Source organism: Homo sapiens, chromosome 8 (genome assembly GCF_000001405.40).
Source record: "Homo sapiens chromosome 8, GRCh38.p14 Primary Assembly".
NCBI classification, from domain to species: domain Eukaryota; kingdom Metazoa; phylum Chordata; class Mammalia; order Primates; family Hominidae; genus Homo; species Homo sapiens.
Window position 1 is genome coordinate 92,159,821 of NC_000008.11, and position 24,528 is coordinate 92,184,348.

Below are 24,528 nucleotides of genomic sequence, written 5' to 3' on the forward strand. Positions count from 1 at the left end.
GAAGGGAATCAGGGGTTTTAGTTGACATCAGTGCAGAATTCTCTAGGTTCAGAGCCCTAGATAAGGATTCTTGCAGTAGTCTAGCACAGGAAGCCATAGTAAGTCAGAGCATTAAAATTCAGACTAATAGAAGATAGCAACACAGATGCAAAATAGAGGCTGTGTTTTTTAAATCAAGATAATCAGTATCTCATGTTGCAAATCTTTCATACGTCCTACTCAGAGTCAAGTTAACCTGTTTTCCAAGTGGACAGTTTAATTCCTGAGAGTAGAAACTAGTGAGTCACATGAATGGATTAATGGTAAACTACACTGGCTCAAGTGAGGGTCTGGTAACAGAAGTAAAGGCAAAAATTGACGGTTCTAATCTAGTTTATAGCTTAGTAGATTACAATTTATGTATTGTATTTTTAAGCCACATCTATGCTTTCAGATTCCATCAGCACCTCAAACATCCCAGCCATTAACCCCAAGTCCAAAACGATGTAGTAAGGAAAAACACTATGCTAAAGACCCAGCATCTAGGAGGAGAAAGAGGTTCATGATGCTTCTCTTTTCTTATTTCTATTGACTTATTAATAAACTATAGAGACAACTGGTCTCATCTCTGTTTATTCTACAACTCCTGAAGATTAGGAATATGATTTTAAGCAAACTATTAATTTTTAACACAATTATATTTCAATAATTCTTGATTTCCTATGGAGTTTATTACAGTGGGGGGTTTACTTGAATTAAAAATAGTTTTGTAGCAACACTTGTCACACTTTATATAGACTAAATTATATGACAGGATGCAAACAGTGAGAAAAATCTTAAAAGTAATTTACCCACTCCATGTTTAAATTCCTTTTGGAATATTTTCATCATGGAATCACCCATTCTTGTGCTTGAACACCTTGATAAGGGGGGACTCACTTTATGAAGAGGCAGTTCATTTAATTTTTTGGACAACTCTAAATTTTACAAAGTTCTTTCCTAAACTAAGCCAAAATTCATTTGGAGCTTTTATCTAAAGTAGTACTTCATTTGGTAGAAGGTAGTAGAAGTACTAACATCATCTTATGTACTTTCTGTGATATTTTCTCTTCCTCTGCTTCTTCCTCTAATTTTCTATCTTCTTTTATTTTTTCCTATTTTATATACATGCCTTTTGAGTTAGAAAGAAAAACAATAAAAATTTTAAGTTATTTAGAAATGAATGATAATGATGGTTACATATAAAAAACTATAAATTAGATACTAAGGGCTATTCAGGGGAAAGAAAGTTTTAAATACATCTAGTTTTTAAAAAGCATAAGTTGAAAATAAATTAGTTAAGTATTTCACTCAAGAAGCTAAAATTGACTGGGCTTGCTGGCTCATGCTTATAATCCTAGCCCTTTGGGAGGCTGAGGTGAGAAGGTCGCTGGAAACCAGAAGTTCAAGGATGCAATGAACCATGATAACATCACTGTATTCCAGCCTGGGTAACAGAGAGAGACCTTGTCACACACACACAAAATTCTAAGTGAATAAAAGACAGAAGTGAATGGAGATCAAATAGATACTAATGAAATAGAAGGCAAAATAAATATTAGATTTGCCTAATAGGGTTCCAACTTTTAAAAAGAATACACTGCAATAAAGACAGATTTTGTAAATCTCTTCTAAGATAATGAGAGTATGTGAGAGGCAAGTCACAAAAAACATTAGGATGAGGAAAGGACAAAACTTAAAAAAATTTAAAAATATTATGAGATAATAGCCTGTATATATTTACATGAATACAGTTGTAAAACAAGATGTAATGGACATTCTTTCTAGGAAAATATAAATGACCATGACCAATAAGAGTTGGTAGATAATAGTGGATGAACAATTACATAAGATATTAAGAAGTTAGTAAAATACCTAATTCCTAAATAAATGACAGGTCTTCATAAATTTCACATAACTGTCAGATCAAAAATAAGTGTTATTTAAATTGTAAACACTTAGAAGACAATAGGAAAATATGGATAACTGACTAATATAGTCCATGTGCATTACATAATCCTGATACAAAGTCTGGATAAACATAGCACAACTAAAGACCGATATCGCCTACTATTATAGATGCCAAAATGCTAAATAAAATACTGCAGCAGTGTATTAAAAGAATTACACATTATAACTAAGATATATTTCCAGAATACAAGATCATTGAATGTGTGAAGTAATATTAAACTATCCACATGACACAGTAAAGAATGTCAAAATTATTACGTAAAAGGAAATACGTATTAATCATAAAAGCTCTTCCTGAGCCCTTATCATAACTAAAGATACCCCCAATACCCAAAAGCAAACATTACACTTTAATGATGAATCATTAAATTATTTCTGTTAAAGTAAATTAAATAATACTCTCTTTGTGAGTGTTCTTTTCCTTTTATGGAAGGAGAGGGGCTGGTGCTTTTATCTTAATTTAATTTTACATAAAAATATTAAAATATAGAGACAAAGTCTCAACATGTTGCCCAGGCTGGTCTTGAACTCTTGGGCTCAGGCAGTCCTCCCGCCTTGGCCTCCCAAAGTGTTGAGATTACAGGCGTAAGCCACTGTGCCTGGCTGAGAAGCTGATGTTTTTAAAGAAAGAAAGAATATGGAAGGAAGAAATGAATTGTAAACTTTAAATACTGGAAAGGAAGAGGCAAAACTGTTATTATTTTAGTTTAATTCTTCCTAAAAAAATCTAAGGAATTAGAAAATGTAGAAGGATATATTTATATAAGAATTAGGACATTGAGTATATATTTATATAAGAATTAGGAAATTGAGTAAGCAGTGCTTATTAAAGTGGTAAGATAAATATATGTAACAACAATAGCCTAACTGGATAGTATAATAATAATAATTTTTAAAAATGCCAACTAAAAAATCAGCAAAAATCATAACTACTAGGAAATAATCTATGCAAAAGCATAGAGTAATGATTAAAAGGATGAATTATATTATTACATAATCTTTACAAGTCCAGTCTTTAACCTTTACTAGCTGTGAGTCCTCGGGCAAAATATTTAATTTCTTTGTACCATGTGGTTTTTTGTAAATAAGGATAAAAATAGTACTTATTTCATAGGCTTGTAGGAAGATAAAAAGACAATATATAAAAAGTGCTTAGAATGACATTTAGCACATAGTAACTGCTTGATTAAATATTTTTATTATTGCTATTTTAAAAAGCTAAATAACTTTAAGACATGAAGAAAGAAATGAATAAATTATGGGAATTTTCCACACCTGAATTGGAACAGTGAATATTTTAGATATGTAAATTCAGCAAAATCCTATATAATCTCCAGAGAGTTTTTCAATAAAAACATTTCAAGACATTTTAAAAGGTGACTGAGTAAGAATAAGCTAGAAAGATTTGGAAAGAAGTATAACCACAGGGCGCTTTCCTCAGTACATATTAACATATGCTTTAAAACTAATATTCTTTCTGTATTTGTATACAAATGAATGTATGAAACAGAATAAGGGATTTGTAAAGAGAAAAAAATGGGAAATTAGCATATTATAAAATTTTTATTAATATTAGATGAGGAAGTATAAAATATTTGAAACGGATGCTGAGATATTTAGATATTGATTTAGAAAAAATGGATTTTTAATTCATACTACACCTACAAATAAGTTTGAGGTGGAGCAAAGAGCTAAATGTAAAATAAACACACAACAAAACTCTCCAGAAGTAATATTATTGTGAACTGTGCACAGAGAAAGATCCAACTCTGTAAGGTAGAAAACCCTGTAGACATAAAATTATATTCATATGTGTAAGTAAACACAACTTAGAATCTTCTGTAAGAGGTGAGTAACAGAACAACATAAAGCATTTTTCCAGCATGGATAACAGGCAAAGGTTAGTATCCATAATATATAAAGAAATTTATGACTCCATAAGAAAGCGATAACCAAACTTTGTTAACTGGTAATTTATAGAGACACATAATAAATATGCCTAAAGAACATATAAGATGTTGTTCAAAGCTTACTGGAAATCTAGAAAGTGCAAATTAAAGCAACAATTTTGTAGATTTTTTTTTTCGTCCATCATATTCATGAACTTTACAAAGTTTACCAAAGTTTTAGGATAAGTGATCGTTTATGTGCTATTTGGAAGAGTATATACTGGAACAACTTTAATGTCAGGCGATATAGAACTATCTACTAAGTTTTGAATGCTTATATACTCTTCTTGGCTCAGTAATTCCATCTCTAGAAATCTATTCTGCAAAAATATTTCCCTGTGTGCATAAACATAAATGCCGAAAGGTAATCATTGCAATATTGATTACAGTAGTAAAAAGTTGGGCACAATGTAAAGGAGAACAATAAATAAATAATGATTCTTTCATACTATAGAAAACAATGGAACATTTTAAATAATGAAATAAATCGGACACAAACAAAAATATTGTATAATCTCACTTATATGTGAAATCTTTTTTAAAAAGGTTAAGTTACAGATAGAGAATTAGAATGACATTTAGCACATAGTATAGCATATGTAGCAGTGGTTACCAGGGTCCAGAGTAAGGGAGAAAATGGGGAGTAGGTGAAAGGATTAAAGCAGCAAATATGTAGGATGAGCAAGTTGTATGTACAATGTACGATGTGGGGACTAATAATAGTGTATTGTCTTCAGGATTTTTGCTCAGTAGACTATAACTGCTCTTGGCGGGAGACACAGGGGAATGAGGAGGGAATGCGCAACCATGTAACCATGTGAGATGATGAATATGTTAATTTGTTTCACTGTAGTAACCATTTTGTTATATGTATGTGTATCTTTTTTTTTTTTTTTTGAGATGGAGTTTTGCTCTTGTTGCCCAGGCTGGAGTGCAATGGTGCGATCTCTGCTCACCACAACCTCCACCTCCTGGGTGCAAGCAATTCTCCTGCCTCAGCCTCCTGAGTAGCTGGGATTACAGGTATGCGCCACCACGCCCAGCTAATTTTGTATTTTTAGTGAAGACGGGGTTTCTACATGTTGGCCAGGCTGGTCTCTAACTCCTGACCTCAGGTGATCCGCCCGCCTCGGCCTCCCAGAGTGCTGGGATTACAGGCGTAAGCCACCGCTCCCGGATGTATGTGTATCTTATAACATCATATTGTATACCTTAAGCATACATAATAAAGTATGTTTTTAAAAACCAGCTAGATGGAGAGAGCTGATAGATGGAGTTGTAACAACAAAAAGTCGTAGGATAGTAGGCCCACTATGTTCACATAAATGTTGAATATACATGCAAATATATACAAAATAACTGCAAGGATAGTAGTTAATTTAACAAATATTAGTGAACACCTATATATGCTATCCTAGATGTCAGATTTATGGCTGTGACTAAACAGGCAGATGAACAGTATTAATTTTATTTACCTTTATGGTGTTGGATTGTGATCGTGAAAAGGGACTTTCATTGCTATTCTATATGTGGTTGTATTGGTTGATTTTTTTTTCTTTTTTTCTTTTTCTTTTTTTTTTTTTTTTTGAGACGGAGTCTCTCTCTAGCTCAGGCTGCAGTGCAGTGGCGCAATCTCGGCTCACTGCAACCTCCACCTCCCGGGTTGAAGCAATTCTCTGCCTCAGCCTCCCAAGTAGCTGGGATTACAGGTGTCTGCCACCGCGCCCGGCTAATTTTTGTATTTTTAGTAGAGACTGAGTTTCACCATCTTGGCCAGGCTTCTCTTGAACTCCTGACCTGGTGATCCACCCACCTTGGCTTCCGAAAATGCTGGGATTAGAGGCGTGAGGCATTGTGCCAGGCAATTTTTGTGTGTGTTTTTTTTTTTTTCTTGAGACGGAGTCTCGCTCTGTCGCCCAGGCTGGAGTGCAGTGGCGCAATCTCGGCTCACTGCAAGCTCCGCCTCCCAGGTTCACACCATTCTCCTGCCTCAGCCTCCCGAGTAGCTGGGACTACTGGCACCTGCCACCATGCCCGGCTAATTTTTTGTATTTTTAGTAGAGACGGGGTTTCACCGTGTTAGCCAGGATGGTCTTGATCTCCTGATCCCGTGATTCACCCGCCTCGGCCTTCCAAAGTGCTGGGATTACAGGCGTGAGCCACCGCGCCAGGACAGTTTTTGTGTTTTTAATAGAGACGGGGTTTCACCATGTTGGCCAGGCTGGTCCCGAATTCTTGACCTCAGGTGATCCGCCAGCCTCAGTTTCCCAAGGGTTACAGGCATGAGCCACCGCACCCGTGTACTACTTTTATAAATTTAAAATAAAAGAGAAAAAGAAGAGAAAAGGTAAACCCACATGTAGTCCTTGTCCACTTGAAACTGAGGATTCTATTGGCATGGAACTGAATTTAACTAACCTGATATTTATGTATTTAGATACTTTGGCATTCATGTTTGCTAATTCATCTAACAGCAAGGGACTAAAAGGGTGTTTATGCACCATGAGATACATAGGATTAAAAATGTAGTGTGCAGCCAGGTGCAGCGGCTCACGCCTGTAATCCCAGCACTTTGGGAGGCCGAGGCAGGCGGATCACCAGAGGTCAGGAGTTCGAGACCAGCCTGGCCAACATAGTGAAACCCCGTCTCTACTAAAAATACAAAAATTAGCTGGGCATGGTGGCGTGCACCTGTAGTCCCAGCTACTAGGGAGGCTGAGGCAGGAGGATCGCTTGAACCCAGGAGGTGGAGGCTGCAGTGAGCTGAGATGATCACGCCACTGTACTCCAGCCTGGCGACAGAGCGAGACTTGCCTAAAAAAAAAAAAAAAGAAGTTGAATTATTGAAAAGTTAACATCATCTTGCTTATATTCATCTTCAAATTCCTTTCCTTAGCCTCAGAGTCATTACTCAGATATAAACAGGCTCAAAATGCAAGTGTGTCAATCATACAACTGAATCTCTAAACTTTGTTTATTGATTTTGCTTGAAAATATTTTATAATTTAGTGAATTACCTGTTCAATCTGATTGCAACTGAAAATTTGAGAGTCCTACTAACCTGCAATATTTCTTTTAAAGAAATGTGACAACTTGCAGCAATTATATCTTCTAGCCAAGTGTACTCACTGAATACACATGTCCTTTATAATACAGATCTGTGGTTTATTTGGTTGATATCAAATTTGGTTTGGATATTCACTTCTTTTTTTTTTTTGTCTTTTTTTTTGAGACGGAGTCTTGCTCTGTCACCAGGCTTGAGTGCAGTGGCGCGATCTCAGCTCACTGCAACCTCCGCCTCCTGGGTTCAAGCGATTCTCCTGCCTCAGCCTCCCGAGCAGCTGGGACTACAGGTGTGTGCCACCACGCCCGGCTAATTTTTTTGTATTTTAGTAGAGACGGGGTTTCACCAGGTTGGCCAGGATGGTCTCTATCTCCTTGACCTCGTGAGCTGGCCACCTTGGGCTCTCAAAGTGCTGGGATTACAGGCATGAGCCACCACGCCCAGCCCCAGAGATTCACTTCTTAAGGTGATTTTAAAAATCTTCAACTTTAAATATGTTGTTTACTTTGGTGAAACTAAGTCAATAAAAGCACTACTATTTCTTCTATGCTATGCTGGTTTTTACACCCGAGAAGATTTAGAAATTGTTCAGATAAGCTTCAGAGTAGTTATATTAGTGTTTTTGGAATTATTCAGTTTCTCCCATCCAAGTACTAACCAGGCCCGACCCTGCTTAGCTTCCGAGATCAGACGAGATCGGGCGCGTTCAGGGTGGTATGGCCATAGACAATTATTCAGTTTCTAACAATAAGTTTTTTTTTCCAGAAGGGTGAAGTTATACTTTTTATGAGCTGCCTTATGTGGCTTTACCAATGGAAATGATCAAATAAATCGAGTGCCAAGTTTACTCTTAATTTCTTCATGCTACATAGATTCAGTTAGTCTAAAAAGTTGTTTGGTTGAATTTACACAAGTTTAGCAATGTGTGCATTAAATCTGCATTTCCCCAGAATAAAGAGCTGATTTCTTAGACCCTAAATCACACCAGGAGTTAAATACCACTTATCCAGTCAAATAAGAGGTATTTTTGAAGCACTACAAAAAGAAAGAATAGACAAATATTATGGTCCAGTGATTCTGATAAATACAAATGATCCGAAACCTTCAACCTGGGAATCAAGTGTAAGCAATGCTCAGTTTTTTTTCCTGAACTCCCTGGAGAAGATATCATGGAAATAATTATAATGCTGGAGAAAAGCTTAGCAAATAAGACTCTAGCTAGGTTCCCTTCACAGTCTCTTGCAATGAAAAAAAGAATTTAAAGAGCCTCACACATGATGTAGGTGAGTGTTGGAAGTTCTGATTGCTTATCTGAACTCTCAAACCTTTGGCTGCATGCCCACCTCCAGGGTGAACCCTGTCATCTTTTGCATGAAACAGAATGAGGTGATTTGAACCTCGGAGTCTATTTCTTCCCTAGATGCATGTGTACAATTTCTATTAATTTTAATGAGAATTATGTTTGCACATTGAGGCAGGATAAATCCCTTCGGGAGGAATCTTGCCCTTGGATGCATACTGTAATTTCCATTAAAGGGATAAAACCCCAGGGGATCCATACATGGGCGCCTGAGGGCAAGATCTGACCCTCTGCATAAAAAACACTGCACAAATCACCAGGTCATCCTAGACATGTAGATGCCAAAAATATAAGAGGTTAGCAAGCATTTATTTTAGCCTGTATTCAGGTGATGTGAGTTTCTCAGAGTTACGCCTTTAACCTGCGGTTCCTGTAAGGAAGAAATAACTACCAAGCAATAGAGTCTACTCTTTCAATAAGGATATTGCTAAAGAACAATAACCAATGTAAGATGAACAATATTGTATATATTTTAAAAAGAAATAATACAAGTAAAATAAAAGAGACAATGAAAGTTGTGTTAATTAAGAAAGTGACCTACTTTACTACTCTTGTTTCCACAGGAGACATTGAAGATTATGGACAATTTAAGTCTATTCATCAGTGAATCCTGCGTGAAAACTTTTTAAGTGGCCCTAATACATTATGAATAATCTCAGGGCAGAGATCTGTTTTGAAGGAGATATGATTGATGGTCTATCATTCCTAATTCACTGTTTATACTGGTAGCCAGCCTACTGGGAAAATACCTCATTCATCAGGGTATTAGTGAATTCAACCAACGTATGGCACCTTCATTTTAACAAACTAAAGGAGAAAAGCTAAATGGGGGAAATTGACAACCATCTCTGATTCTATGATAATGCAATTAGGCTGCTCCTCTCCAGAGCTTTTGCTAATTCACAAAACAGCTTCAGTCGGCAGGTCATAAATATATGATCATTTTTCACACTTTGAAAAGTAATGATGCCTTGACATGAATCAATAGATCTTGGTGAAGTCCTTTATACTTTTATGTTCAGCATGCAAGTCAGTTTTAAAACTCGTGTGTATTAAATCTGACTTGCTATCCAGCCTGTGTTTACATAATCTAATTTAACAAAGTCTCAAATAAACGTGTAAATGAAGTGTTTATAGTAAGCACAAGGAAAGTTTCCCTTTCATTGAGAAAGTGTGATATGGTGCATCAAACTATTTTAATTTGCACCCTGAAATACCCATATTTGCAAATGTGCCACATACAGAGAGCTGTTGCTCCTAAAATTTGGTAGTTTCTATATTGAGTTTGCATATTATGCTCAATAGCTGAATTAAAAAAAATTCTACTGCATATGACACAGTGTGTAATGCATTATTTATCTAAAATGGATCTGGTACAAAACATCCAGAAAAGATTAATAACTATCTCCCAGACACCCCTCCAAAAGGGCTTGCTCATCTTTTTAAAACAATTGCATAAAAATACATGGTGAACATAGATACATGTATTAAGTAGCAAAGATACACAGCAGCACAACCTTTTTCTAACAATCATAGTTCCACATGCTCTACAGGGAATAGGAAGATGGACAGGCTAATGAATACAGCAGGTAGCAAGTGGTTGAGGTTTGCTTAAGAATGAATTATCAAACAGCTACAAATTGCCAATTTAAAGAGGTTATACTCTACTGTACATAGCATTTTATTTTTTATTCCTGGAATGGTTGACAATTTTCCTGGATGAAAAGTGAAATGATACTAAATCATAAATGTACCTGCTGTGCTGTCATTCCCATTAACTCCCCCCTTTGTTTTGTTTATTCACTGTTCATGGTTGCAAAAACTGATGTGCTTTATAACAGCATGGACAAAGCCACATTTTCATCAAAGACCTAGATGACAATATATTTTTAAATTAAAACTAAAACAATTGGTGTTTTTCTCCTGAGTCTTTCACAGTCATTTGGAACTGCCGATGAAAATAAATATTGCATAGAAAATTGTTTTTGAAGTGTTCATGTGTTGTGCGTAATCTCCATTATTTGATATTTGCTATGATGAGTAATTGATATGATACACTGTCTATAAATAGATTGTGTCTTCACAATACAACATCAAGGGGGTGATGGAACATCGATACCACTGATTGAAATTTCCATTTTGTCTTGTGCTCTGTAAATCTAGCCTTAAGCATATATATTCCCTAGAGGCGCATGATACTAAGCAAAAGTAGGCAATGGCTAGCACAGGTTCTTAGTAACTTTAATTCTTTAAAATCAGATTATTAAATCACAAACCACCTCCTAGAGGTAATTTGGCAAAGCCATTTTGAGAATGTCCTTCGAATGTTCACAAAGGGATACCAATTGGTACTTGACAGTTAATATTATTTATAGAGGAATTTATAGTCTTCAGATCCATGCACAACACATTGAACCCTCACGCATTTCTTGTTACAGAGGATCCTGGTTCGATTTCCAGGTAAAATATGCAGTTCTCTCCAAAATAACCGCAGTTACTTCAAAACAGGCTGTGAAAAGCCATGTGAAACAACCTCTAACATTATTTTACTGAATCCTCTTTGCCCTCTAATTCTGATCATGAGTCTGTTGGAGGCCTGGCATCTATTTTATGAAGGTTTTTGCAAGGAAAATATTTAGATTAATGATATAATTTAATGATAATTTAGTGACAGTAGATCTAACCTCAGCTGAGTGACAATAGAATTGAAAAAGTAAACCAGTGGGAGAGACGAGACAGTGGCTGTTGGGGCAGCAGCAGGGAGGCTGCAAGGGTCACTCTGATTGGCATTGTCACTTTCCCCATTCATCAAGCGAGGACAGACTTCCCGAATCATTTCCCAGATGGGGCAGCTCATCAGTTTAAACACCTGATATGAAGCCATCCGTCATCTGATAACATGATCCTTGGGCTGCAGCTGGCTGGGTGCTCTGCAGCCCGAGTGCACATGTGATGGACTCAAGCCAGGGAGGCAGGCTTAGTTGGGCTGCCCTCCCTTGATAGGATTTGCAGTCCTCCACTGGACCATGGAACAGGTGGAGGCTGAGAGAGAATGAAAAAATTACCATGTGTTGCAGGGATTAGAGCCTTACACACTCACCACTCCACTTGAATACCAATCAAAGCCAGACAACCAACCTTGGGTGAGACCAACTTCAGGCCTGGCCATAGAACAGAGAAAGAGAAGATATGCAGATCAAGCTGGGAAACCTGGTTTCCTGCAGTAAGAACAACTTTTAACATTCAAAACCTGCCTACGTTTTTTTTTAGAAACCAAAAACCTGAGATGAGATTTTTCTCTGAAATCCAACTTTCTTTTTCTTTCTCTTAAAAAAATAAACAAAGCATCTTGAACATTTTTGAAAGACAGAGGAAAAAAGAGTAATCTCTGGGGAATCATCACAAATCCTGTTATTTTATGCTCACCATGGTGAAAAACTAATGCAACAAAGACAGTCAGACAAAGAGACAAATTATGCGCACTTAAACTGAAAGTGTTTATTGCCATGTGAAATATAATTATGCTGATTTAAAATGTTCACTGCTCAGACAGTCTAGAGCTTATTGGAATAAGGACTAACCTTTCACAGGAGAATGAGGCTTTTGCAGAATTCCATGGTAGCATGATAAACTGGGCTGTGTAAAAGTGTGGCCTCCTTTCTCACTCTGGTGGACCATTGTGTGAAACCATCCTTTTATTTGTAAAAATTAAAATCCCTCAATTGGAGAGTCCATAACTGAGATAACAAGTTAACTAGTAAAGACCTAATCCTCTTATGTCCTTAGTGGAATAATATAGAGAAGTTTATTCTGCTTACCATATGACACACCTTATTGTTATAATTCCTGGTGAGGATCTATTCGGGCTTATTTGCTGTTCTCTGCTAACATTGAGCAAGCTCTCTCTCTTTTTCTCTCTCTGTCTCTCATTCTGTCTTAGATGAATGATTTGGTGTTTTCACCCCAAACGACTTGTGTCTCTAAAAAACCTCTCTATGGACAAGACTCTTGCAGCTGCAAGAGTGTGGAGCCATTTCCGGTGCAGATTCTACATCTCATTTACATCTCTTCTTCTTCACATTTTCTGTTCAGGGCACTATGTTTATCTCCTGGAAATACATATGGTAGTATCTGTCTGCTCCTACTTAGATGAAAACTTTAAATGATCATTCATATGTACACAAAAAACAGATCAGAACTTTCAATCTTCTAAATTGGTGAGCCTTTTTGTCTTCTCTCCCCTTTCTTCTCCCCATAGTTAGAGTTAAATTTTATACCTGGGTAGTTGATCTAGAATGTCACAAAGATGTTACTGAGAAGAAGTAAGGGAAAGATAGGCCAATGGACAAAAAGTTAGGAAGCCAGGCCGGGCACGGTGGCTCACGCCTGTAATCCCAGCACTTTGGGAGGCCGATGAGGGCAGATCATGAGGTCAGGAAATCGAGACCATCCTGGCTAACATGGTGAAACCCTGTCTCTACTAAAAATTCATGAAATTAGCCAGGCATGATGGTGGGCGCCTGTAGTCCCAGCTACTTGGGAGGCTGAGGCAGGAGAATGGCATGAACCCAGGAGGTGGAGCTTGCAGTGAGCCGAGATTGTGCCACTGCACTCTAGCCTGGGTGACAGAGGGAGACTCTGTCTCAAAAAAAAAAAAAAAAAAAAAAAGTTAGGAAGTCATACATGGCACAGAGATTGTGGAGAGGAAGGACAAAGGGTTAGAAGTCAGACCCACCCAGGTTCAGATCTTAGTAATGCTGCGACTTACTAGGTAACTTCAGGTAAGTTATTTAACTTCCCTGAACTGAAAGTTTTTTTATGTATAAAATGTGATTATTTAATATTTTTATTATTAAATACCTTTCTTAATTGTTTAGAACATTAAGCATGATACTGCATTTTAGTAGTTAACATAGTAAGATCTGTGTTAATAGTGATTGTTATTATATTGCTCTATAAATAGTGTGTAGATAACAGCAAGACAACTCATTCATAACAGGCAGGGAACATTTTTGCATTTTGGTTCAATAATATTCATTAAAGCTTACATTGTACCTGTTGCCTTGCCAGGAATTAGAGATAAAAAGATATTTATGACTTAGTTCTACATCAGGAGTCTAGGACAACGTTGCTAAGCTTGTACAAGAATTTTTTTTTTTCATTTTATAAAACTTAAACATGTATCAGAGCAAAATGCTTATCCAAAATTGTGTACACCTAACTATATTCCTTAATAGAATAGATTTGAATTTTCAAGCTTCAAGTTTGTACTTACTATTTTTGCCTTCCTTTCTTTAACTTCCTCCCTAGTTGGTCTTTACCCTAGAAAGGGAATTTAAGGTAATAGGTTAAAATAAGACATCACCTTTTTAGAAACGGTATTTGTTTAAATTCATATAATTCAAAGAAAACCAAGCACATATTTATAACAATATGACTACAACAACCCACTTCTATTATATTTAAAGGTTATATCTGTCATTGTAGAATTTAAATCACAAACTTTTCCCATAATATTGGTGTAACTCATAAAATGGGTCTACCACTGCCTTGATTAATGTAAAATATTTTCACATTGTAGTGCATATGTTAGAGTAGATAAGTTTAGGGATTAAAATAGTGTATTCTCCTGCTCTGTGGTTCATAGCAATTCATTTTACAAATATTTGAGAATACACAAATGCAGTTCATGGTACAAGGTATGAATAATGCCTTATACCATTATAGTTAAAGTGGGGATTCACAATTAGCTACAGTGACAAGCATAAAGATAATTGCTATGTAATATGAAATATGCAATTAAAAAGGTTTTTAATAGGCAAAATGAGGAAATAGAGAGAAAATAATTTTGTGAAGGGGATATGGTCATTAGGTAAATTTTTGTAGGGGAGATAATATTTGAATAATGAATACAATTGAAAAGAGACAAAATTCATTCTAGGTTGAGAGAACAGCACAGGCAAATGCTGGGAGGGACACTTAACAATGCAAAGACCATTTTATTTATTCACTCAACAAATATTTGAAAACAAACATGTATCAACTTTCATCTGAGATTGCCTTGTAAATGCACACTTTGAAGTACCCTTCTGTTCCACACGTACAAACACGATAGATAAATTTTTAAAGCAAAAATTTAGAAAAGATACAGCTGTACTAAAACAGTAAAGTAAAACAAAACAAACATCTCTGTGGAAAAGACATAAAATAGAAGTGTTTGGTGGTTGGTGGAGGTGCAGATGTGGGACTAGGTCTGCCCATCCCTGGGCAGAGAGCCCAGCAGCTCAGGCTTGTGAGAGAAATTGCTCCCTTGGAAGTGATAGGTCAGAGCCAGGCTCACACCTGAAGCCAGGACCTACCTCTCTTCTGAAAGAGAGAGCGAAAAAAAAAGTGGCATATATAAAGCATGGGAGACAGAAAGAAGCACACACAGCCTTGTGACCAGATAGGAACCAAGCCCCAAAATGGTTTTGTGACAGTGTCTGTGAAATTCTTGATATCCATGTTATGCAAGATTTAATCTTCAACGTAAGACATAACTCACGTTATGAGGGAGAGGTTAGGGTAGAAGCCCTACAAAATCAGGTATGGAGGGCTAAACAGAGAAAGAAATCCTGGAGATAATTTCCAAATACATCAGGGAAGTAAATCTAATATAGAGAAAGCAGTCCACAAAACAGAAACTTTGTATATAAATTTGGCCCATAAAAACTCATGTAGTATGATGGATATGCTAATTTATGTATAAAATGTGATTTTATACACCCTGATATGATCACTACATATCATATATATCAAAATATCACTATGTACCTCATAAATATGTATCATTATTATGTGTCCACTAAAAACAGAAAAAATTTATAAATAAGAAAAAAAATTTATGTAATAGAACAACCTGATACATATTTCAAAATAAATATGTTTAGGATATTTAGGGAGATGAATGAAGGAAAAACCTCCATAATGAGCAAATAATTGAACAAAACCCAGCACAAAGTGAAACAAAAGAGATGTGGATATAAAAAATAATTTAAAATTCTAGAAATAAATAATATAGTCAGTGAAATTAAAAACTTTATAGATGAGATATACTCTAGATTAGACGTAGGCAAAAAGGAATTAATAAATTGGAAGAAAGTAATAAATAATTCACCCAGAAGGCAACAGTTAGAGATGAAATATATATGAGAGGGTGTTTAAGGTATTTGGAGAATACACTGACAGACTCCTATAGACATCTAACAGCAGTTCCAGAAGGAAAAAAAATACATTGCCCCAAATGCAAAGGAAGAATAGTTAGGCTGAGAGCAAACCTCTTCTCAGAAACAGAATATGTCAGAGACACATCAATACAGTCAGCTGAAGGAAAATAACTGCCATTAGGTAGAATTTTATACCTAATTAGATTATTATTTAACACTGAGGTTAAAATCAAGACATATCAAGCATACAAAGACTGAGAGGGACTGCAATAATCAGACACTAAACGAACTGCTAAACAGGAAGGGATGGAACACGTGCAAACAATAGTGAGCAAAGAATAATAATATACTACTTGTAACATATAATAAATGTTTTATGTATGTGTGTGTTTCAAACAAAAATAGCGATGGTCATTGGGTAGCTAGAGCAGGCTAAAAGCTTTGTAATTTGAGAAAAATAGAACTTTGAATAATTTTGGACTATTAAGACAATTTTCCATACCTGACAGGAGTATTGGATGCTTATGACTCAAAGCTGAGGTCCTATCAGTAAATTTTCTCCTCATCTAAGGTTATGCTCCCTTCCTAGGGCATATGGGGCAGCCCACATCCAATAACTGGTTGATGTGGGAATATAAAGGCCTGACATTTTTGCCTCAAAACTGGGCAACTGTAAAGGATCATCTCAACTCCATAATGTCTCATAAGATCTGTTGAGGCCTCTGTTGCAACTGCCTCTCAGTTCAACTTTTCTCTCTGTCCAATCCTGTTTCCCTTATTCCTTATAGGATTTCCCAGAACCACTCAGTATGTAAACCTCTGTGTCACAGTCTGTTTCCAGGGAGTCTGACCTAACACAATTGGAAACTGGTCCTAGGAATCCATGTCTAAAATGGGACATTAGAGCTGAGCCGCCCACCAGCCCGCTGGTAGTTAAGAACTCCATCACTGGTGGTAAATGGAATACTGATAACCTCCGAAATGATGTAGCAGTGAAGTATTAAAAGTTTACCAGTGGTGACCTGGGATGGGTTATCAGTGGAAGACAACACATTAGCAAGGATATTATCTTAGGCAGAGGGAGATTTAGGGAAAGTAAGCATATAGACTATAAATGGATGGCTTTTGTCATTAGAAAGAAGGAAGCACAATGCTTAGTAGGTCTCTTTGAGTTCTTGAGGAAGCATATTTCACATTGGAGAATGAAGCTGTTTTCTGCATCTATACTTCATTATAGAAACTGCCTCTGGACCCAGGTTATGGGAACTCAAATAATCCTATGGCCAGAGGTGAGTCATGAGCTGCATTCTATTACAACCACCATGTTATAAAGTTGGGAAGTCCCAGTGCAATCCATTAGTAACACGGAAGTGGGATCAGGCAAGATCGGGACAGGAAGCTTCAAGAAAGTATCAAAGCAGGGGGCTCAGAACACCGTGTTACCCACCACATACAGGAAGGAAGAAAAATGTCTAGTATGATTTGTGAATGAGTTAACTCACTCTGTGGTTTTAGGTTGAAAATGGACTATGCAGAAGTGGCCCTGAAAGAAAGTTGTGAGGAAAAATCTTCTCAATGGGAAGAGATTTGGGTGGTACCTCTGGTCATCTACTTTAAGTGGAAAGTGAAGAAGAACAAGGAAGAATTACATGAACTCATGGATAGTGATGAATAACTTGATGAGTTGGGTAGGGGCCTAGGGAGAGAAAGATTGGAAGATTGAGGAGGTCTAGAGGGGAATGTGGATGAATCCATGGAAGCTGGTATGAGATCTTTACATCACAATTGTATGGAACAGAGACCACCCATATAATGGATGGAAGAGAGGCACAAAACAGTCAAGTAGACTGACTCAGGCATTTGAACTCAGCCAGCTGTTGTCATTGGCTACCCCAGTGTCAGAAAAACGGGCTTGTGAATGGAGTAGCCACAGTGACCAGGGCAGAGTCTGCACACGGGCTGTAAAGAAAGGGTTCCCATTCACCAAGACTGATTAGCCACTGCTGCTGCCAAATGTCCAGCCTACCAGCAACAGAGATCAAGGCTGAACCCCTGTAACAGTACTGTCCCTTGAGGAGACGAATCTGCCACTTGATGGCAAGTTGACTATATGGGACCTTTTCTTTCCTGGAGGGGGCAGCAATTCATTTTGGTCATAATTGACATATATTTTGTATATGGATTTGCCCTTTTTGCCCCTAGAGCCTTAGCCAGTACAGATTGTCTAGTTCAGTGACACAGAGTACGACAAATATCACCTCAGGTCCATGGATCCACTTTATAGCAAGGGAAGTATGGGTGTGGCACATGGCTGTGGGTCCAATCAGACTCCCCCCACATCTCCCAGAAGCTGCTGGCCTGGTAGAGCATGAGCAGTATTACTGAATAGTTTTCCATTTTATGGATATATATTGTGAATTATAATATATCAGGATTATTTCCCATAATTTTGGCTATTACAAATAATAAAGCTTCTATGAATTCTCATGTGGAAGTCTTTGTGTGGATGTAGGTTTGCATTTCTCTGGGGTAGATGTCCACAAGTATAATTGCTGGGTTGCATGGTAGATGAATATTTAACTTCATAAGAAATTGCCAAACTATTTTCCAAATATCATGTTGCATTCCTAAGAGCAATGTATGAATGTTCTAGTTGCTTCACTTCCTTGCTGGAAATTGGTATTGCCAGTTAAAAAAAACCTTAGTCATTCTATTAGATGTATAGTAGTATTTCATTTTGTTTTTATTTTGTACTTCAGTAATGAAGAGTAATGTTGAGTATCATTTTCTGTGCATATTTGCCATCTACTTCTCTTCTTGGGTGAAGTGTCTAAATCTTTTGATTATTTAATTATTTTGCCTACTGATTGAACAATAAGAGTTCCTCATATATTCTTGATTCAAGTATTTGATCAGATACCTGTTTTTCAAGCATTTTATCCCAGTTTGTGGTTTATCTTTTCATTTTCTTAACACTGTGTTTTGAAGACCAGAAGTTTTAAATTTTGATAAAGTGCAATTTATCAGTTTTTCTTTTATAAAAGCACTTTATAAAAGTAAGTAATTATTACCTAAACTAAGGTAACATTTTGTTTTTTTGAGATAGGGTCTCTCTTTGTCACCCAGGCTGGAGTGCAGTGGTGCATGGTCATGGCTCATTGCAGCCTCGGCCTCCCAGACTCAAGCAATTGATCCTCCCACCCCAGTCTCCTGTGTAGCTGATACTGCAGGCATGAACCACTACAACTGGCTAATTTTTAAAAATTTTGTACAGACAGAGTCTCCCTATGTTCTCCAGGCTGCTCTTAAACTCCTGGACTCAAGTGATCCTCCTGCCTTGGCCTCCCAGTGTGTTGGGATTGCAAGTGTTAGCCACCACAAACTAGCCCAGGGGCACAATATTTAAGATTTTTCTTCCATGTTTTTGTCTAGAAGTTTCATAATTTTCAGGTTATACATTTAGGTCTGAGATCTTTTTCAAGTTAAATATTTTATATGGTTCTAGGGAAGGTGGGGCTTTATTTATTTATTTATTTATTTATCTCTGCATATAGATGTTCTAACATCATTTGTTGAAAACAATCTCTCTATTGGTGGGGCATGGTGGCTTAAGCCTGTAATCCCAGCACTTTGGGAGGCTGACACAGGTGGATCACCTGTGGTCAGGAGTTCGAGACCAGCCTGACCAACATGGTGAAACCGTGTCTCTACTAAAAATACAAAAAATTAGCTGGGCCTGGTGGCAGGCACCTGTAATCCTAGCTACTCCGGAGGCTGAAGCAGGAGAATCACTTGAACCCGGGAGGCTGAGGTTGTAGTGAGCCGAGATCGCACCATTGCACTCCAGCCTGGGCAACAAGAGCGAAACTCTGTCTAAAAAAAAAAAAAAAAAAAAAGAAAACAATATCTCTCTATTGAATCAACTTGACACATTTGTCAAAAAGAGATCACATATATGTAGGTGGCCTAAGACAGCTTTACAAAGAATTAATGGATTTTGCTTTCTAGTACAGCTTTAGATTGACAGAATTGAGCAGATAGTACATACAATTCCATACACCTACGCCCTCCCTGCACACAGTTTTCCTTATTATTAACATCTTGCAGCCGGGCGCAGGCGCGGTGGCTCACGCCTGTAATCCCAGCACTTTGGGAGGCCGAGGCGGGCAGATCACAAGTTCAGGAGATTGAGACCATCCTGGCTAACACGGTGAAACTCCATCTGTACTAAAAATACAAAAAATTAGCCGGGCTTGGTGGCGGGTGCCTGTAGTCCCAGCTACTTGGGAGGCTGAGGCAGGAGAATGGAGTGAACCTGGGAGGTGGAGCTTGCAGTGAGCAGAGATCGCGCCACTGCACTCCAACCTGGGCGACTGAGCGAGACTCCGTCTCAAAAACAAACAAACAAACAAAAAAACAACCATCTTGCACTACAGTAGTATACTCATTACAGTAGATAAACTAATTTTGATACTGATGATTCACTATAGTCAATGGTTTACATTAAGCTTTATTCTTGTGGTCCACAGTTCTAGGTTCACTGAACTGCATTGCACAATTCAAAATGCATAATGACATGTATCCACCATTGCAGCAGTTTCATACAGAAAAGTTTCACCACCCTAAAAATCTGTGCTCCAGATATTCATCCACTTCTCCCTTAGGAGAAGCCCACTGATTGCCTAGGATTCAAGGATTCTCCTAGAATCCTTGGCAACTAGTGATTTTTAGACAAGCTAGAATCCTTGGCAACAAGTGATCTTCTTACTATGTCTATAGTTTTGTTTGTTTCAAAATTTCATATAGCTGGAATCATATGGTATGTAGCTTTTTTGGACAGGTTTCATTTACATATCAATATACATTTAAGGTTCACCCATGTCTTTTCATGTCTTGACAGCTTATTTATTTTTGTCACGGAAAAATATTCCATGGTAAGGATGTATCAGTTTGTTTATCCATTCACCTATTGAAGAACATCTGGAAAAATCCCAGTTTTTAGTGATTATGAATAAAGCTGATGTAAATAATCATGTACATGTTTCTGTATAGACATGTTTTTAATTCAATTGGATAATTATTTGCTAGTACAACTGCTATATTGCAAGGTTTAGCTATATTTAGCTTTGGTAGAAACTATCTTCCAAAGTGGCTGTGCCATTTTGCATTTTCACCAGCAATAAATGAGAGTTCCTTTGGCTCCACATTCTTGTCAGCATTTGGTATTGTCAGTTCTTTGAATTTTAGCCATTCTTATAGGCGTGCAGTGTTGTTTAAATTTGCAATTTCCTAATGACATATGGTTCTGGGCATATTTTCATATATTTATTTACCACCCATATATCTTCTTTGATGAAATATCTGTTCAGATATTTTACCCATCTTTAAAATTGGAGTGTTTGTTTTCTTATTGCTAGGCTTTGAAAGTTCTTGTACAGTTTGGATACAAATTCTTTATTGGAAATGTCTTTTGCAAATATTTTCTCCCAATTTGTGGCTTGTCTTCTTATCTAAGAAAACTTTAAATTTCTATATCTAACTACAAAAAAGTGACTAAGAGAAATTAATGCTTCCAAATCAGTATAGAAAATAAGACAGCATTAGAAAACAGTATTAATCCAGAGATAGAAGAAAGTAACGAAAAAGAAGTAAACACAAAATGGTGACTGGAAAGTGAAAAACAGAAAATGTAGATATAGCCACATATATCAATAACAGTAAGAGTAAACACATTAACTTTCCTATTAAAATGCTTCTAGAATCAAACTGGATCAAAAATGTGTTACTTAGAACAAATAGAAGAGTTGAACAAAAAATAGAAACTTTTAAAAGATTGTTTATACTTAAAAATAATAATCCAAATTAAATTATTTTAGCAATATTAATATTAGACAAAATAAACTTATGACATCCCTGGAATTCATCATCAGAAAAAATATAATAACACAACACATCATACTGATAGTTTAAAGGAGAAGCCATAAAATTATATCAATGGATACATAAGCATACATAAGTTGACAAAATTTAACATTTTGAGATAGTTGTATAATGCTGCTTGTAGCAGTTAAAATCAATCAATTAAATGCTAAATGCATTCCACTATGGATATATTTTTGAAATGTAATGTTGAAAAATGATACCATTTATATAAAGAACTTACTAAGCAGGATATCATCCTGTTTATTGATATTTAATCTATTGCATCGAAAAATGTGTAGAAAAATATCCACAGGGAGGAAAGAAACTAAATAGTGATTACTTCTGGGGAGGGGTGAGTTTGCAAAGGGTTTCAGCTCTATCTCTAATATACCTAATTAAAATATAAAGCAATAGCAACATTAAGAAATATTTAATTGAATTTCTACTTTTTGGAAGACATTTTTGAGACATTGAGGATATTGAGATGAGTGGGTCTTGATTTCTGCCTTCAGAATATTCTCATTTTAGGGTATGGGATGCAATTATATCCAATATAGACAATATAAGGCCCTTATTAATTTTCACCTGAATTGTTACAATAGCACTTCTACTAAATGCACCATTAAGTGTTAGTTGTTATTACTATTAAGAGAACTAAGTAACTTACATGGACATTATTACTAATAATTGCACATGCAGCTTCAACTTACTGCTTGTATTAGGAGAAAAAATGTAAATCTTAAGTCTACTTTCTAGTAAAAGATAATATTTTGTACATTGTACTTTATGAGACCATCAATTCCTATATAACAGACTATAATAGTCCACCTCCTCTCCAGCTTTTAATCTAGGTAAATGGCCCTAGTATTCAGTACAATAAGATGTAATAGTGAAATCAGCCTATAATTGGCCTGTTACTGTGAGAGATAATTAAATTGAGAAACACAGTAGAAGGAAGATAGACAAGTGCTAGGAACAGAATCCAGGAAACAGACTGAGACAGTGTCAAAGGCCATCTGGCCCTGGGAAAGACCCCCATTTCACAAAACTGGAAGTAAGAAAAAAAGAATATATATATATATATATATATTTCTTTTAAAAGAATATTTATATATAAAATACATAAATATGTATGTTACAAATCTTTTCTTTATGTCACTTGTAACAAAATTTTTCTCTTTATTTAGTGAAGCATTTATTCTTTCTCATGGTTAATTGCCCCAAATTAAATAAAACGTTTCTCAGAAATATCATGAAATACATTTAGAAATTTTTCTATATTATTGAAATACTACTAAAAGCCATTTACAGCCCTTAAAATGATGTGCTCCATTTACACTTCAGGTTTTGTAAATGAAACAGAGTCAACAAAATATTTCATAGCTCTGAATATATTTAGTAAAATTGGTCCTCTCAAACAACATATACCTATGCCAAACACTGAAATTTATCTTATGTCCAAACTACTCGAAATGAAATACAACGGTGCAGGGAAAACCCAGGAAATAGTGTAAATACACGGAGAGTAGAACAACCATTTATGGTAGATTTCAGAACAATTTTCTTGTGTTGCTTCATAATTTAACATATATGAACAAAAAATTAGATATGATTTTCTTTTGCAAGATAACTAAGAATTAAAGTGAATTAAAAAGTATGTTTTATTCCATCACCTCTGGAGTTTTCAAAATAGGTGTATGTAGAAAAAATCTGAAGCCAAATATCTGTTATTTTTAGTAGTCCTAAGATATGCCTTTTCACCAGAGCAGATATTTCTATGTTTTTTAACCATAGAAGACATTTTAGAAAAATTGTGTATGTGTGTGTAATGTATATTAAAAATTGTGTATGTGTGTGTGTAATGTATAATAGCAAAAGCTAGTGATCCACAGTTTCTCCTTTAAATAAGCATCAGATATTTGAAGAAGCCTAGATGAAATTCTTGTGTATTTTTCTTTTTAAGATAGAGTGACACAGGTACATAGGACAGTATAAAAATAAAAATTTTAATTGCCTTAAAATAAAAATTGACAAATAAACATTTTCTATGTTTTTGGAATGCCTTAAGCATATACATGTGGACTTTTGTGGAAGGTTACAGAATTTAGGTTTGTTTGGCTTGCATATTAGAAAGATGAAGGGTTATTATGAGAAGAATATTCTCCATCTCCACAGAGGGCAAAGCGAGAGGAAATGAGCTTAAATTGTTTTAAAAGAGGCTGAGTCAACACTGCCAAACTTCAAGAATATTTTGACTGATTTGACCAGTTAACAGGGTTTCAATTAAGTGATGGATTAGATCGATTCAACAAATAATCTACTAACCAGTTATTTTGGCAAAGAACGTGAATGCAAAGCCTTTAATTAGGAGGAAGCACTCGTTTAATTAAACATTAGGGCAGGAGTTCAAATAAGATTATAGTCTCTAACCCTAAAGGTCTTTCCAATTTGAGTAGATAGCTAGAGATTGAATAGTTTAATCTGTCAATGGATATTTATTTAGCACCCACTTTGCTCCTAACATTGAACATCTTATACAATCCCTCCTATTCAAAACAAGGGACTGTATAAGAGAATCAACTGAAATAATTTATAGCCTGTTATGGACTGAATTATATCCCCCTACCAAAAGATATATTGAAATCCTAATCCATAGTATCTTTGAATGTGACCTTATTTAGAAATAGTCTTCACAAATTTAATAAGGTTAAGATGAGGTCATTAAGATAGGCCCTAAGCTGATATGACTGGGTTCTTATAAAAAAGAGACAGCAAGAGAAAGAGAGAGAGAGGGACAGAGAAGATGTCCACGTGCAGTCAGAGAGGGAGAATGCCATGTGATGTTGTAGATAGAGATTTTTGGAGTGATGCATCTACAAGCCACAGAACATTAAGGATTGCCAGCAACTACTGGAAGCTAAGAGAGAGGCGTGGAACAGATTCTCCTTCAGAACTTCCAGAAGGAACCATCCCTGCTGACACCTGACTTAGAACTTCTAGCCTCCAGAACTATGAGGCAATACATTTCTGTTTTAAGCC